We start from the raw sequence: 15897 nt of genomic DNA, 5'->3' as shown, positions 1-15897 counted from the left end.
CTGTCTTGTCTCTATGATGGCTAGAGCAGCACTTGCCCTATTTACCTTACAGAGCTGTGGAAAAGATCAACTTAGATAATGCATGGAAATGTCCTTTTTTTTTTTTTTTTTTTGTTTTTGACAGAGTCTTACTTACTCTGTTGCCTGGGCTTGAGTGCAGTAGCATGATCTTGGGTCACTGCAACCTCCACCTTTCAGGTTCAAGCAGTTCTCCTGCCTCAGCCTCCTGAGTAGCTGGGATCACAGACATGTGCCACCATACCCAGCTGTTTTGTATTTTTAGTAGAGACCATGTTTCACCGTGCTGGCCAGGCTGGTCTCGAACTCCGGACCTCAAGTGATCTGCCCACCTCGGCCTCCCAAAGTGCTGGGATTACAGGCGTGAGCCACCGCGCCCGACTGTAAAACATAATAAATGTACTTTATAAATACAAAGCATTATATGTTTGGTATTAATGTGCTGATTCATACTTAGTATCTTGAGGCTGAGGCATGAAAAGCAGAATTGTATTGGTGAGGGTTTAGGCAAGGTACAGAAATCTCTTTAGGTACTTTTAGCAGAAAGATATTTCATATAGGGAATTTGGCATTTAAAAAAATCATTGGAAGAATGGAGAAATGGGAGCCAAAGGGTGGTTCCTAGAATTACTGAGTACAAGAACCTACTACTGTAACTGTGGTCTAGGGACTGGGAAGCCCCAACTTGGCATTGCTGTTAGTGTGGCCACAACTGCTTCTGTTAGAAATAGGGGAAAGAATATGAGTTCCAATTCTCCTCCTCATTTCAAATCTTCCTCAAATGCTTCTAATGGAGAAATGATTTGCATCCAGAACACTAGTTGCGAAGAAGTCCAGGAAAGGCAGTTTTTAACTGTCATGCTTCAGCAGGAAGCTGGAAAGAGAGTGGTACAGAGGTTAAGCAAGCCAATCCACAGGATATTCTATGTATGAAAACTGCTACAAACTAGTTGTGGCATGAGGAAGAGATAAGGAAGCAATCTCCTTTAACAGCTCCTCACATAGAAACATTTTAAATGAAATCCAAAGTAGCTTTTTTTTATAGATGAGGACTTTTAGTTTTACCAAATGAATTCTAACTTTGTATTAGAAAATAGATTTAAAAGGATGATTAAAGAAATATAAACTAGCCTCCTATATTATCTATCGGTTGCAGCAATAGGGTTATAAGAAACATTTACTTTGTAAAGTCTGTGCAAATGAATTCTGTGCCTCTTTGTGCCAGTTGCAAGACCAAGGAAACATCCTTGAATAATAAAGGAAGAATACTTTTTTCTTGGGAATCAGAAGTCATGACATCATTGTGTATGGGCACAGCCATTGCAAAAGGCAGAACCAATTCAATGAGTAGATTTTTTTTAATTGCATATGTATGTATTTTCCTGCTAAGAATCTGAAATGACTAATTAATTCATAGAAATCTTGGTAAACCAGTTTGCATCACTGGAAAAAATGGTATTTTCCCTCTGCTCTCATCCATTATTATTTCTTAGCAAAATGTTTCTAGTTTGTTATCAGCCAAAAAGGGTTGCCAGTTAATTGATACGCTTCATTTATGTTCCCAGTGGGAAGAAAATAGCGTGTGCAGGTGAGGTAGAAATGCAGGTGAGTGGGCCAGGCTCAGCGTTTTCAGCATGAACAAAGCTTCACTCCTTTCCCAGAGTTTCAGTGAAATAATGCTAAGTCACTCATTTCTAACTTCGATTCCATGTCTGTACCTTTACACTTGCCCCTTAAATACTCCGTATATGTTAGCCATCATTATCAATGTTATTCGTTTGCCTACTTTTGTTTTTTTGTCGTTGGTACAAAGATGCAGTGTAAGAAGGGAGATGCTCTGGTACATTAGGGAATGGCAACAGGTCCTATAATGGCTGGGGCAGTGTATCCTCAGGAGGTAACTATTGAAATGTCTGTGAATTGAGATGCCACATCAAACTCCTTTTAGTTAGTTAGTTCTATGCTATTTGAACCTTCCACAACTTTCTGTAACTTTCTGTTCAAATTTATTCAATTCTGCCACATAATGCGGTGTACATAACTTCATATCTCCATATGACAGTGTTCTGTGTTCTAAAAGTCCTTATCTGCTATCTCAGTACCATCTTGTGAGCTCTTGAGAACAAGAGGGTTTTCCCTTTTGTGCCCACTGCAGTGCTTCCCACTCAGTATAAATAGTCATTCCCAACCACTCATGTCTGTCAAGGGCGTTCCTGTCTGTGTCTCACTTGGGCTGGACCCCTGCAGTACCCTTGCTTGAACTATAGGAAACCAAGCAGGAAATTCAGAGGTAGCTGTTTCCAAAGGGCTCTATAAATGTATTTTGGTGAAATATTTGTTGAATATTATTAGGCATGAAGGGCAGAATTTTTAACCTTCACACAGGATTTTTAAAACATGCGATGTATGTGTGCGTGTTTGTATTTGGGGAGGACGGTGTGATGGTATCAGCCTTCCCACTTTGAGAATAGCTGCTCCCAATCCCCTGGGTTGGGACCAGCTCTTTCCTGCTTAGCCAGGAACTGCCCCTTTTAAGCCTGCATGGTCCAGTGTTTACAGGAATTATTGAATGAACCCTATTTTGACCTAAGATATCTTGCCAAGGAAGGACACAAATTTCCATGGAAATGAGTGAGGCAGTAGCAGGAATGTTAGAAACCACAACTGTGCTGATACAATCTGAAAAATATTTCCTTTTGGTATTATAAAAACACGGTTGGCTGTCCATTCTCTTACATTGTGATATAAATTACATTTCTCCTCAGCACGTTCACCCAGGGCCATATGTAAAGCATCACAAAACATCCTTAATGCACCCCACATAGACACTCATTTCCAGCTTCCTAGGTTGGCTGTAGGCTCCTGTCATGTTCCACTGAGCCTGGACCTGCAGCGTTCTTGGCCTGTGGGAAACCCAGCAGGATATTTTGGAGTAGTTTGTCAAAATAGCCTTGTTAAAATGAAAATACACATTTTTTTTCCTTCACAGTAGTGTGCTTAATAGAATTCTCTGAGCTCCCGGATATCCCTGAGTTTCACAGCAATTTTTTTTTCTTTTAATAAAATTTGGACTATACTACATAATCTACAGAATTTGGTAGTTTTTTCCACTTATTCATATTATTGTAATCATTTCCCGTGACATATATCTTTTTGGCTGGAAGGAAACTAAGGGGTCTAATGTCTGGTGGGGATGGATCTTTGCTGGACTTTTGTTAGGTTCTATTGTTAGGCTTCCATCTGGCTGCTTTATAACAGAAACCTGATGGGGGGCAGAACCAAATAATTGCTTATTTATCTCAAGCAATAAAGAATTAGAGGGTAGGTAGTTTAGGGCTCAGTGATGGCTACATAGTGTGCCATCAAGCTCCCAGACCCCTGTCTTCCTACTCAAACCTCCTTAGCTGATGGCCAAGGAACTTCGCAGTTTCGGTTCAGGATCCCAGCAAAAAGAAGGAGTAAACAGAAGAGGAAAGCTGGACAGATTCCTGCTCATGTATCATTAATCAGGAATGAGTCACATGGGCATGTCTAACTGCAAGAAAGCCTGGGAAGTTCAGTTTTCCAGCTTTAGGCAAATGCCTTGCGTTTGTCAACTATACGGGCTGCCTCAGTTTCTTCACATGTTATCTCGCTCAGCCCTTACAGCGACTCTGTGTGGCTGTTATTATTGCCTCCATTTCATGGATGAAGCTAAGACTGAGAGGGGTTAAATACCTTATTGAGGGTCCCAGAGCTGGTAGGTGGAAGGGCTGGGATGTGAAACCTGGCCTGTCTGATTTCAAAGGTATTAGTGTTTACTCTATGGTTTATTTCCTTAGAAGACATGGATTCTAGTGGATTAGTTCATTCTTATCACTCAGTCACCTTGAAACTGTTTTAAGGTTTTTCACTTCTAAGAATACCTTTATAAGAAATGGAGAAATTTCATTTTTTAAATTTATTTTTATTTTATTTTATTTTGAGACAGGGTCTTGCTCTGTTTGATAAACTAAAAATGCAGTGGCACGATCATGGCTCACTGCAAGCCTCCACCTTCTGGGCTCAAGTGATCCTCCCACCTCCACCTCCCAAGTAGCTGGGATTATAGGCGTGTGCTACCACACCCGGCTAATCTTTGTATTTTTTTTATTGTATTTTTTTTTTTTTTTTTGTAGAGACAAGGTTTTGTTATGTTGACCAGGCTGGTCTAGGAATGCTGGGCTCAACTAATCCACCCATCTTGGCCTCCTAAAATGCTGAAATTGCAGGCATGAACCACTACACCTGGCCAAGAAATTTCTTTTGCAGCTTTTTGGGAGAAAAAGTAGAGTGTAGCTATACAGGATATGGAATCCTATACAACACCATAGTTTCCCATACAATACTCTAGTCTCTTTTTGGCTTTGAGCTCCCCGGTATCCCCTGTTGAAAGGAGAAATAAGAGCATTTACATTATTTTGAGTTTTATAAAGGGGAAACCTTGCATTGCTTCTTTGTTATAGGAATCTAGAACATGGTTCCACTACTATTGAATAATTAAGGTAATTGGCCCTGCCATTCTTGGCCTAATGCTAACACTAGAGTACTGTTTAGGGTATGCAGTCTAAAAATCTGGATCCTAAGCCTGGCCTTTCTATGATGACGCTTATGATCCCAGACAAGTCATGGAACCATTCTCAGCATGAATTTTATAATTTGCACATTGGGACAAATAATACCTGGTCTTTATATTTCAGTATCATTATTATGAGTAACAAAGTTAAAATGAGATAATGGGTTTAAAAGTGCTTTGTAATGAATGCACCATAAAAACATATGATAATATTATTACTGTTATTTTCTCTCAAAGTGTTTACGGACTTTAGCATTGCCTTGGCATTTGGGTAATGCCAGGAACCCATGAAGCAAAACAAAAACTAAAACACCACTAAAAAAAGGGTGAAATCAATTTTACAGGACAGTGAAAAGAAATAAAGGTGTTGAAGCTGGGATTTCGGGAAACATAAAGTAGTAACAGAGAATGTTACAGTCTTTGTTTCATTATATTTGGATAATAATTACAGTAAAGTAAAAGAGCAAGGTGAAATAAATCATTAACTTCTAGTGAATTAAGATTGTGATCTGAACAATGAATTGATATCCACTGTTCTTCAAATTGCTGTGTAACTGAGAAGAGCAGGAAAATGGATCATCACTGGATGTCCAAATATCTGTTATCTTCATAGGGAAAGGAAAACAATCGATTAGAAGTGAGGTAGTGCAATGGAGTTGCTCAGAAGAATAGCTGATGGGAACTTTAAGATGTCTTGTTTTTCAAATTTAGAAATAATTGAAAATTAAGACCTTTCTTTAATGAAAATTTGCAGGTTGTCTATGGTTGAGAACAAAATGAAAAATAAAGGAATGCTCTATCTTGCCATGGTGTAGATCTTTCTAAATTACTTGACAATGTGTAAAATTTCATACAAAGACCGATTATGGCTCAGGATTCTAGCTTCCTGGGAATAATTGAAAAGAATTCATGACACCAATTACCACTGAGTCACATCTCATCCCGTAGGCCTGACGGGAGTGATAGCTTTTCTTAGGAGGTGTTACTGTTCCATATAACATTTTCTTCTTAGGTGTGGTGACATGACAGGGTGTTTCCCTGCAGGAGAACCTGGTATACCTTTAGTTTTTTTTCTTTGATTAGTTTCTTAATCTTGGTTGCTCTTACAAAGGTCCAAGTGTAGAAAGGAATTTGCCTCCGATTTTAATTTAGTTTTGAGCATTTGTTTGGATACTAGGAAGCCTCTGTTTCATTTCTATTAATATGCTCATTTGTACTTTTAAACTCTATTAGGAGTCGCTTAAATGCATAGACATATTTGATTAACTTATAGAGAGGTATCATTTCAACCCTGAATTTTCTCTGGCTTAATTAATTTGGTCAAATAATCAAGAGGTATGACTATGCACAGAGAACGTTTTCAGAGTGTTTGTCTATGTTCAGATCAATTCACTATCTTCCTTCTAATTCACTGTCTTCCTTCCATTGATGGCCAAACATTCTTAGATCACAGGTGAGCTAGCACAACATTTTTTAATCACTTATGGCCTGACTAGCTCTACCCTGTTATCTTCAGTGTTCAGAACTTCTGAGTAGATTGAAGAGACCGACCCTGAAGCTTGACTTGCCCAACACAATGGGGAAAGGGGTTGGCTAGGGATAGGATAGGGAGTGAACATAGCTTTGGGGGCTAAAAGGAAGTCCAGCCAGTAGCCAGAAAGGGGTATTGCAGTTCTTACTGTGGAACACTGTTGGCAATAACCAGAAGATAATAAGGAGTAACATGATGTGCTGCTAGTATGCAGAATGCAGAGATGAAAATGGGGTGGATGGAGCTATACCCAGAGATCCGTTTAAAACAATTGACTTCAAGTTCCCAGTCTCTACGCTGGAGGTTTTGACAACTGGCAGCTTCCAAGGGTACTGGTCAGAAGAAGCCAGAGCCTCTGACTTCTAGAGGTTTGGGAACTGATCATTTATCACAGCAGGAACACAAGTGAACCAGGTGAGCATCCTAGCACTGGGGCCAAAATTAGGGACTGTTTTTGTAAGCAAGGCTGAAGCACAGTTACTGGAACTTGGTATGGGCTGGGAGGCAGGGACCTGGAAGGGCAGCCTGGGGTTATGTTTTGAAATTAAGTCATAAACCAAGTTACTAGAGCCATACCTCAAAGCCAGGGCCAGAACACAAGTGTAACTTGGTAGTGATTCCCATAGCTTCAGGTGACCATGCCCAATCATTCCCCTAAAGGCCAAGATTGACCCACATTGCTCAGGGCTCAGTCTGAACCCCAGCTGTAGGTTCAGGTGTATATAGAGATTGAGAAGTAGGCTGGATAAATGAGTAGAATTTTTCAGACAAAAACATTTAGGTTCTTACTGTCTTCAATGTCTAGCTCTGTGGAGGCTGACAATACAGAGAGAGCAAAAACTAAGTGTAAGGAGAGGATTTGGGAAAATTGTTAGGTAATTAAGAAATTATATTAGCAGTTTGTCAGAAAAATAGGTAAGTGGATAAGTGTGGTGAGAAAATTTAGGATAGATGGGCATGGGTCAACATCTGCTGATTGTAAAGGAAACAAAAGTGCTTTTTGAGGGTAAGACAACATTTTATACTCTGAAAATTATTATGCATAGGTTTTTTTTCTTGCCAAGTTTTATTTTTCCTGTCTATTCAGACTCTATTCTTGAGATTTCAGAATTTTAACTCTTTGCTAAGAAAAAGAAAATAAGTGCTGAGAGAAATGCAATTGTAAATTAATTTGATAATCACTTCACCTGGGGTGTCTGCAGTTAATGAAGCACTGGCTAACAGCCCCATATACAATATGTATCATCTGATTATTTTGTTTACATTTTTCTGTTTCTAGAGTTCAATCCACTCTGATTTTATATACATCTTGGGTCTAATATACTATTCAGAGGATAGTATATTCACAAAGTATGGTTAGTTCTGTAGCCATAATTTATAAATTTCCTGATTGTCTTTTCTTGTTATACTCTTACATAGTCTTTGACTATGACACCCAAGGTCAGTAAGAACTGAAGTTGCTACAGTTTGTAGGTGCTTCCAGATGCCTGACATGGAGATTGTTTGAGGATATTTTAAAATCCAAAAAAGTTCAGTGATATTTCTGGACTCAAGAAAAAAACACAGTATTTCTACACAAACTATAAAATTTAATGTAAATCAAAAATCTACAAAATAACATCAAGGTTAGAATTAAATTTAAAGCAAGGATTTGATGCATAGAAGATTGCCTTACACATTGATTGGACTTGTCACCTAAATAAATATGCCCTGCTGCCAGCACAACTATGCTTTCCTGAAATTTTCATGATTCTATGTAAGTAAAATAAGTGTTCGACCACTCATTCATGAAGTACTTATTGAGCAACTACTGCTGTGTGGTAGGGACTGTGCTAGTTCCTGGGGAAATAATAGTGAGTAAAAATAGATCCGGTTCTGCACCTATTGGATACTGTCCTCAATGTTCCATAGGTTCCTTACCTTTTACATGCTCACAATTCTGTCCCTTTCTCCTGCTTCTTTTCTTCTATTCCTGATCTCAGGTAATGACACTATCGTCTACTCAGTCACTTGAGCTGGACACCAGGGTCTTATGTTTGAATTTCACTGTCCAAATCCAAGTTTATTTCATAAATATTTCCTGAATCAATCCCCTCTTTTCTTACCTCACTGCCACTGGGTTAAGTCAAGGTTTATCATCTGTTATCTATACTAATTCAAGAACTTTCAAAAAAGTTTCACAGACAGGCGCGGTGGCTCATGCCTGTAATCCCAGCACTTTAGGAGACTGAGGCAGGCAGATCATTTGAGGTCTGGAGTTTGAGACCAGCCTGGCCAACATGATGACACCCTGTCTCTACTAAAAATACAAAAATTAGCTGGGCGTAGTGGCAGGCACCTGTAATCCCTGCTATTCAGGAGGCTGGGGCAGGAGAATTGCTTGAACCCAGGAGGCAGAGGTTGCAGTGAGCCAAAATCACACCACTGCACTCCAGCCTGGGCAAGAGTGAGACTCCATCTCAAAAAAAAAAAAAAAAAAAAGTTCACTATTATGAATTTGCCTTTCTGTGACATCCTCCACCCTCTGCCAATTTTGTTGTTATAAAATGTAAACTGGTGTGTGTGACATCTCTTAACTCACTCTTCACTACTTGCCATGCAGATGAGCAAGTGGCTAAACGGCAGACTAAGTCAGCTGGAGCAGCATTCACAGAGAAAACTCATGAAGGACAAGGAGCAGCTAGTAGATATGCTGTTGCGTTTTATTATTAAAAATAAGGAAATTCTACCCTCTAAGAAAGGGAACCTGAAACTACACTGGGCTTTGTAGTTCTGTAATTAGGGATGCACCAACCATTCCCCTGGGGTGATTGAGAGACTGAGATATAACATACTTACTAAGATAGGGCAGAACCCTGGCTTTGGCCTCTTTTATCAACTTAGTGTTTGTAGGGAATGGAAAGCCAGTGTAGCTATGATGGGTGACTCAGGTACAAGTCTTGCAGATACAGTTGAATGACATAGATGGCCAGAAACGGTGGCCTTTTTTTTTTCCATTTTATTTTATTTTGTCATGTGTTCAACAGCATCTCTTTTTCTCTCTCTCTCCCCTCTTCCTGGCAGGTCACAGACATAAATTAAAAATAAAATCTACAAGAAAAATAATTTATAAAAGCACTCCCAGGCTCACACCTTCTATCCCTACTGCTCAGTTAGGAACACCCCAACTGAGAATCAGTGCTTTCCCCCCTCCACTTCACTCCTGCTTGTCTGGGGAAGACAGTACTCCAGAGTCGGGCAGGGGTGGGGGTGGCAGTGGCAAACAGTTAAAAATAAAGACACTGTGGTCCTGGAACCATCTGGCCACCTTGGCACTTCCATGACTGCCTCCCCCAGGCAGCCCTCCAGGAGCTTGTGCTAAGCTGGGGCTGTGGAGAAGCTGCCCATGGCTGAGAGCTTGCGTGTTTGGGGGGTGCTCTCAGCCCCTGTCACTTGCACTTCTCCATCTTCTAGAAAGAAACCCAAAAAAGAAAGCAGACGACAACCTCGGGACAGAGGAGAAAAATCCCGAGTGTTCACACAGTTAGTTACATGGGTCTTTATGGCAAAGAGGACGTTTAGCTGCTTTGAATATTAGGACATCTCCTTTTTACTCAATACAAGCATTCTACAAGTGAAACAGGGCACAAGCCCTAAAAAAATCAAAGTGCATGAAATTCTAAGAGGACTAGTTTTTTTGTTGTTGCTGGGTTGTGTAATGTTTTGTGTTTTCCCAGTGACAAGCCCAGTCCTTGGTAGGCAGAGGCCTGAGGGAAAGATCACTCCCCAGTGTTGTGCTGAATCCTGCCTGGAGGCTGCTGCGCTAGATCCTCCCTCCATATCATTCCCCTGACTCACAGCAGTACTGGAATAGGAAGGCTGCAGGCCCAGTTCCCGGAGCACTGCCAGCACCTCACCCCAGCTACAGAAGAGCTCAGGCAGTGGGTGAGGGATGGGGAACACAAATGGGATTTATTGCATCAGCTTATAGTTGCAGAAGAGCTAGTTTCTTCCTTGGCTTGCTGAGAGTAGTGGGAATCCAAGCCTTGCTACTGATCAGGATAGAGGGCCTTGGGCACTGAGCCCCATCTGGTTTCCATGCAGCTCTACAGGAGCCCACATCTTTTTCCTGTTGACAGGGGATCAATCTTGAGCAGGTTCATCCTTCCTGGTTACAACCTGTATGATAAAATTCAAATCCCTTAGAGTGTCACACAAGGTCTTCACGATATGAACTCTCTGAGAATGTCAGCTAATATAAGCTTACCAATTGCCATCCATCTGCTTCCTCCAGCTCCTCATTGCTTTTTTTTTTGACACGGAGTCTCACTCTGTCATCCAGGCTGGAGTGCAGTGGTGTGACCTCTGCTCACTGCAACCTCTGCCCCCGGGGCTCAAGTGATTCTCCTGCCTCAGCCTCCGAGTAGCTGGGACTATAGGTGTGCACCACCATGCCTGGCTAATTTTTGTATTTCTCATAGAGATGGGGTTTCACCATGTTGGCCAGGCTGGTCTTGAACTTCTGACCTCAAGTGATACACCCGCCCTTGGCCTCTCAAATTGTTGGGATTACAGGCGTGAGCCACCATGCCCAGCCCCAGCCCCTCATTACTTTTTACTTTTACTAAGTGACTTGCATTTCCCAGAACAATTCGTTTTTTCGTTTTGTCTTCACATTTGTACATGTTGTTCCTTCTGCCCAAAATGCCCTTCCTATCCTTATCTGATGAATTCTTGTTTATTTTTCAAGATCCAGCCAAAGCATCATTTCTGCAAACCTTCCCAGTTCCCTCTCCCAAGTCTCAACCACCTGGCAGTGTTGATTAAAAATCTATTTTCTCCCCCCCAAATTTGTATATATCTCTCTTAATACAACTGAATAACAATTATTGTATAACAATTCAATAACTGAATTGTCAACATTGTTATTGAATAACAGTTACTGGCTCACATGCTTTCTGCTGACCACACTGTGAGCCCTTTGAAGGCAGCACATAGACAGGGTCTGGCACATAACATAGCAGGTGGTAAATTAAAATGTGCTGAATGAATGATGAAATGGATGGTTGCTTTTCCCAAAACCTTTGCACCCACATGGCATCAAGTTACGTCAACCTAGGTCAATCCAGGCAACAGCGATGGAAGAAGGAAAGGTCCTGGATGCTCACGATAGAGCGTGGCGTGTGTGATGGTGTGTGGACAGTCACCCTCTAAGTGTGCAGGACTTCATCCTAATCTTGAAATAACAAGATCGTACATTTTAAAAGTCAAGCCACAATATTGGTTCTGGGCATGTAGTTATTTTGTTTTTATTTCTTTTCGCTATTCTTATTCTCTTTTAAGACATATATTATTCTTAAGAAATTGTTATTGGATGGAGCTGATGGACATTTTGATACTTGTGAAGATAATTTCTTTTTCTCACATCCACTTCTTATTTTCTCTCATTGTCTTTACCATCTCATTTCAAATGACAATGGCCTCTTGTCTAGAATTCTGCAAAAGTTATCTTCTGGGCTTTTTGTATCTAATCTGGCCTCTTCTCCAGTCCATTACCACGCTGTAGCTTGAGTTAGCTTTTTAAAATGCAAATCAGATCATGCAATCATTTTGCTTAAAACCCTTGATTGTCTTCCCATTGATTTTTAGGATAAAGATAAACCCCTTAAGGCTTGATCTCTTCCTGTGGCTCCAGCATCAATTTCCACAATGTTGCTTCTCATCCTCATACCTTGCTTTACTGGCCTTCTTTCATATCCTCACAAACACTGTGCTGTCTTCTTCTGTAGAGGTTTTCCACATGCTATCCATTTTCCTGGAAGACTGTTGCCTCCTCTTACCTAATTAACTTACATTGATCCCTTACATCTTGTTTGAGAACCATTTCCTGGGGAGGAGGGGGCTGGTCCCCAGAGCACCAGGTACCTTTCATTTGCAACTTCATATTCAATTCTATAAGTATTTGATTGAAGTTGCCTTCTCTTACCAGCTGGAAACCTCTCCAGGGATAGTGTTTAATTCTGGATGATAGGGAGTTATGTGTCTCAGTTTGTAGCATAGTGCTTGAGACATGGTAGAGATTCAATAAATTTTAGTGGAATGATGAATGAATGAATGAATGAGTTCAGCTGCTTAGTTTTGGTGGATACAATCACCAAGTGTATCCTGGTGTACCTAGAGCCTATGTTTTGGTATAAATATAAAGAGACTTGGAGTTCATTAATAGAGAGTGGAGGGGAAAATCCTCACATTGGAAGCAGTCAACATAATGATGAGGGATTTTTTTGCTCGTTAGCTCAGCTAGGTCTGGGTTCTTGTCTCATGACCAGGAAGAAGTAGGCACACAGAAATTTGAAGAGTGAGCAAGGCGGGGAGTTTCATTGAATGATGAAACAGCTTTTAGCAGGGGTGGTCCCCCTACCCAAAGGCAGTAAAGTTCTCAATATGGCTGAGCCTGGGGCTTTTTATGGGCTCAGAATAGGTAGCTTGTATTGATTGATTTGTGACTGTGCAAAAAGGTCAAAGCAAAGATGCCACTCAAAGGTGGACATGACAGTGTAGAAAGCCAATTAGGAAAGTGTGGGTATATGAAAAATAGGTGAACGGTGGGGATCAATCAGAGGAAAGTGTGCCAAACGGGCAGGTGGGGTCTCAATCCAGTCCGAGGATTTAACTTGTAGCTTGGCTTTCAGGCTTTAAACTGTCTGCAACTTGGAGGTGGGGTTTCGCCAGGACCTGCCCGTGTCTATCTAGGCATTTGTCTGCCTCCTGTCATTATCGGTAAGAAACCTCAGAATAACTGTCCCAGACTGAAGCCTTTAAGGCTAACTGTGAAGATAGTCAAACAGGGTGACCCCGAGCGCTTTTGTTACCATGTTACTCTTGTGTCATTAGATAATACAAGTCTCAGATGTTGCAATGAAATCAATCTTAAAGGACACCATAATGGAGAAATTGCTGCTGTTTTTGAAGATGTAAAAATCACAGTCAGAGATGTCAGCTCAGTCAGTCTCTGCCTTCTCCCCAACCAGAACTAAATGGCAGAGTGCAGTGACAGAGCAAAAAGCTGAACTGGTTCCGAGGTCTCTTCCCTGCCAGGAGCTGGCATCTCCAGACTGTCGGTTCTTGTGTTGGAGCCTTGGTGCTCTTCAGTCTTTTAGCCATCAAATATTCTTGTACCAATTTTCCCACAAAGCGAATGACTGGGATTTGTATTTTAAAACCACAGCTATTATAATACCAGTATCTTTGAAATTGACATACTGTCTCCCTGTTAGTTTTCAATTTATCTTGGCCCAGCTGCTGGAGGAAAATACTTTTCAGTCTTTGTAGCGCCGTGGAGCCAATATGTTTAGGAAACAAGCCAGTCAATATAGTTCCCAAACAACCTCTTGCCAGAGACAGTAATAATTTTTTAACCCCTTGAACTCTAAATAAGAAAATGGTTTCATCCAGATTATGAACACTAAACCTTGGTTGGTGTGGGCAGTTTGAACAATCATCCTTCGAGTTGAAAACTTTTTGACTGTCCTTGGAATTAGTAAAGGACATACATTAAGTAATCCCCTAGGACTGCTTTTTCAGCTTGTAATTACATTTCAAGGAAATGGCCCTGTAAAACAAGTAGCAAAGTGCTCTCTGCAATATTTGAAAGTAAGACCATAGCAGGTCAAAAATTATAAAGTAAATTATAGTCATTCACTTAAAACGTTCACTTAAGGCATTTTGTAATTTCATTGGTGACCTTTTATTGCATCATGAACAAATAGGGGCAAGAAAGGATTTAGAAGATAAAGATTTGGGCTTAGGAAAATAAGCATTCAGTGGTAAGGATTTATAAGATGTAAGATAGATTAAGTAAGGGCCAGGAAACCTTTGGGGAAAAAGGCAAAGTGTTATCATATGAATAAAAATAATGGTAATAAAATGTCATAGATTATGTCATGTCTTTAAAAAGAGGGTACCTGAAGGAAATTTAAATTTCATGTTTTAGGTTATGTCATACCATGGGGATCTTGATATGTAGAAATTTCCTTTCACTTTTGCAGATGGTTGAGAGATCTAAGAACAGTGGAGGGATGCAGAGAACAAGGAGACAGGAAAGGCTGATGTAGGACACAGAACATCAGAATGACTACTTGGAGCAGGGAAGCCACCAGAGCAATGTGATGATTGGCGCTCTCGTATTTTACAGCTATTAATAGGTCATATTGACTGAATGATTTCTAAGTTCCAGACCTGGCACTTTTTATAATTATCATTTTATTTAATTCTTTCAATAACTGTAGAGGTAATTTCTTACGTTTCCCTTCACCCCATTTTATAGATGAGGAAGCTGAGGCTAAGAAAGGTTCAGTACCCATCACAAAGTACATTGGAAGTGGCAGAATCCTCTGATGCTGTAATTGTGTAAATAACCATTTTATTCTCCATGACCTGGGCACTTAGAAGATGACTGAGGAGTGATTTAGATATGTTATGTATATTCATATAGAGTTTATATATGCTATCGTTCCATCTGTCTGTGAAGTTTTCCTCAATTAAGTTGTGCTTGAGAAGCATTGAGGATTAAATTGGCCAACTCTGAACTTTCTGTTGCCAGTGCTTCCTGTGGGCTTGGCATTCTGTTTAGTACACTTATAAGAAAGTCATTCCAGCCTTGAAAACATCCTTAATGCAGATGTTTTCTTACTGAGTCAGTTAATGGATATGTGAGCCAAAAGGTTCATCAAAGCCACTGCTGATGAAACAACCAAAGCTTCATTTTCTTGAGGCTCCTATTGGAAAGAAAAAGGAAATCTATGTGCCTGTGGGAACTGCAGACGTAAACTACCTACCTCATGTAAAAGGCTACCACGATTGCAAGTGACATGGTAGGTGCAAGTATGGCCAAATACATAGGAAAAAAGGCACAATGAACTTTTTAGTGTATTTCCATTTACTAATTATGAATCTGTGACCACCTGTACAAATAAAGCAATTAATGTCAACTGTTTACGACTCCTACAAAAGTTTCTTCTTTTAAAATTTCAATTTTCTTTTTGTTCCTATCTTTAAAATTTGTGTAAATTTATGGGGTACAAGTATAATTTTGTTCCATGGATATACTGCGTAGCAGTGAAGTCAGGGCTTTTAGTGTATCCATCACCAGAATCACATACAGCGTCCTCATTAAATAATTTCTCATTATCCAGCCCCCTTTCACCCCTTTACCTTTCTGAGTCTCCATTGTCTATCATTCCACACTCTAGGTTCACGTAAAAGTTTATTTGAAATAGATTTAGAGGAAAAATTATATTGAACATATTTTTGTTTTAATTCAGTATTTTAATTTTAAATTGGAAATAATTAGTAAGTTAATTTAAATAAATAAACTCAATTCCGCAAAATGTGACACTTTAAGGAAAGTGCGTAGGAAACATTAATGAAACTCAAATGTATTAGAGAAAACCTACCAAAGAGTAGGTTGGTTATATTTTCTCAATTTGATTCAATTTTGTGGCTACACTCTACAACTATAGTTTGTTGAAGACTAACTATGTGCTAGACTCTTTGCTAAATGTTTTGCATGCATTATCTGATAATCCCAACATATGATGCTGATATTATTGTCTCCATTTGACATGTAGAAATTGAGGCTGAGCCAAAAGTGTCCTGCCTGGGATTTCCCAGTTAGACACTGGTTCCATGCTGTGATTCCAAGTCAAGATTCAAACTGAGGCCTGTTGAAGCTAACATCTACAAATTTAACCCTTTAAACTGCCTTGCATTTCCT

General features: G+C 40.0%; 1 protein-coding gene across 2 annotated transcripts in view, besides 7 other annotated features; it reads left to right on the top strand.

Annotated features, from left to right (window-relative positions):
• The window catches only part of ST8SIA1 (ST8 alpha-N-acetyl-neuraminide alpha-2,8-sialyltransferase 1), a 141317-nt gene that overhangs the window by 48717 nt on the left and 76703 nt on the right, over nt 1–15897 (top strand). The gene's annotated exons all lie outside the window — the stretch shown is intronic.
• Nucleotides 2810–2979: an enhancer, noted in NCBI's record as "experimental_26571 CRE fragment used in MPRA reporter constructs". NCBI's record gives its function as "activates a minimal promoter by MPRAs in K562 erythroleukemia cells, with activity observed for both the introgressed and non-introgressed 12:22436031 variant alleles {active_cell/tissue: K562}" and the evidence as "EXISTENCE:reporter gene assay evidence [ECO:0000049][PMID:34662402]".
• Nucleotides 8957–9126: an enhancer, noted in NCBI's record as "experimental_26569 CRE fragment used in MPRA reporter constructs". NCBI's record gives its function as "activates a minimal promoter by MPRAs in K562 erythroleukemia cells, with activity observed for the non-introgressed 12:22429884 variant allele {active_cell/tissue: K562}" and the evidence as "EXISTENCE:reporter gene assay evidence [ECO:0000049][PMID:34662402]".
• Nucleotides 8957–9135: a biological region, named in NCBI's record as "Neanderthal introgressed variant-containing enhancers experimental_26567/26568 and experimental_26569".
• Nucleotides 8966–9135: an enhancer, noted in NCBI's record as "experimental_26567/26568 CRE fragment used in MPRA reporter constructs". NCBI's record gives its function as "activates a minimal promoter by MPRAs in K562 erythroleukemia cells, with activity observed for both the introgressed and non-introgressed 12:22429875 or rs1960265 variant alleles {active_cell/tissue: K562}" and the evidence as "EXISTENCE:reporter gene assay evidence [ECO:0000049][PMID:34662402]".
• Nucleotide 9050: a transcriptional cis regulatory region, noted in NCBI's record as "Neanderthal adaptively introgressed variant 12:22429875 (GRCh37/hg19 assembly coordinates) or rs1960265 in the experimental_26567/26568 CRE". NCBI's record gives its function as "modulates activity of the experimental_26567/26568 enhancer by MPRAs in K562 erythroleukemia cells {active_cell/tissue: K562}" and the evidence as "EXISTENCE:reporter gene assay evidence [ECO:0000049][PMID:34662402]".
• Nucleotides 12414–12583: an enhancer, noted in NCBI's record as "experimental_26566 CRE fragment used in MPRA reporter constructs". NCBI's record gives its function as "activates a minimal promoter by MPRAs in K562 erythroleukemia cells, with activity observed for both the introgressed and non-introgressed 12:22426427 variant alleles {active_cell/tissue: K562}" and the evidence as "EXISTENCE:reporter gene assay evidence [ECO:0000049][PMID:34662402]".
• Nucleotides 14023–14192: an enhancer, noted in NCBI's record as "experimental_26565 CRE fragment used in MPRA reporter constructs". NCBI's record gives its function as "activates a minimal promoter by MPRAs in K562 erythroleukemia cells, with activity observed for both the introgressed and non-introgressed 12:22424818 variant alleles {active_cell/tissue: K562}" and the evidence as "EXISTENCE:reporter gene assay evidence [ECO:0000049][PMID:34662402]".

Source organism: Homo sapiens, chromosome 12, assembly GCF_000001405.40.
Source record: "Homo sapiens chromosome 12, GRCh38.p14 Primary Assembly".
Classification (NCBI taxonomy): Eukaryota; Metazoa; Chordata; class Mammalia; order Primates; family Hominidae; genus Homo; species Homo sapiens.
Note: the sequence above shows the minus strand (reverse complement) of the source record. Positions and strands in the feature narration are given on the sequence as shown.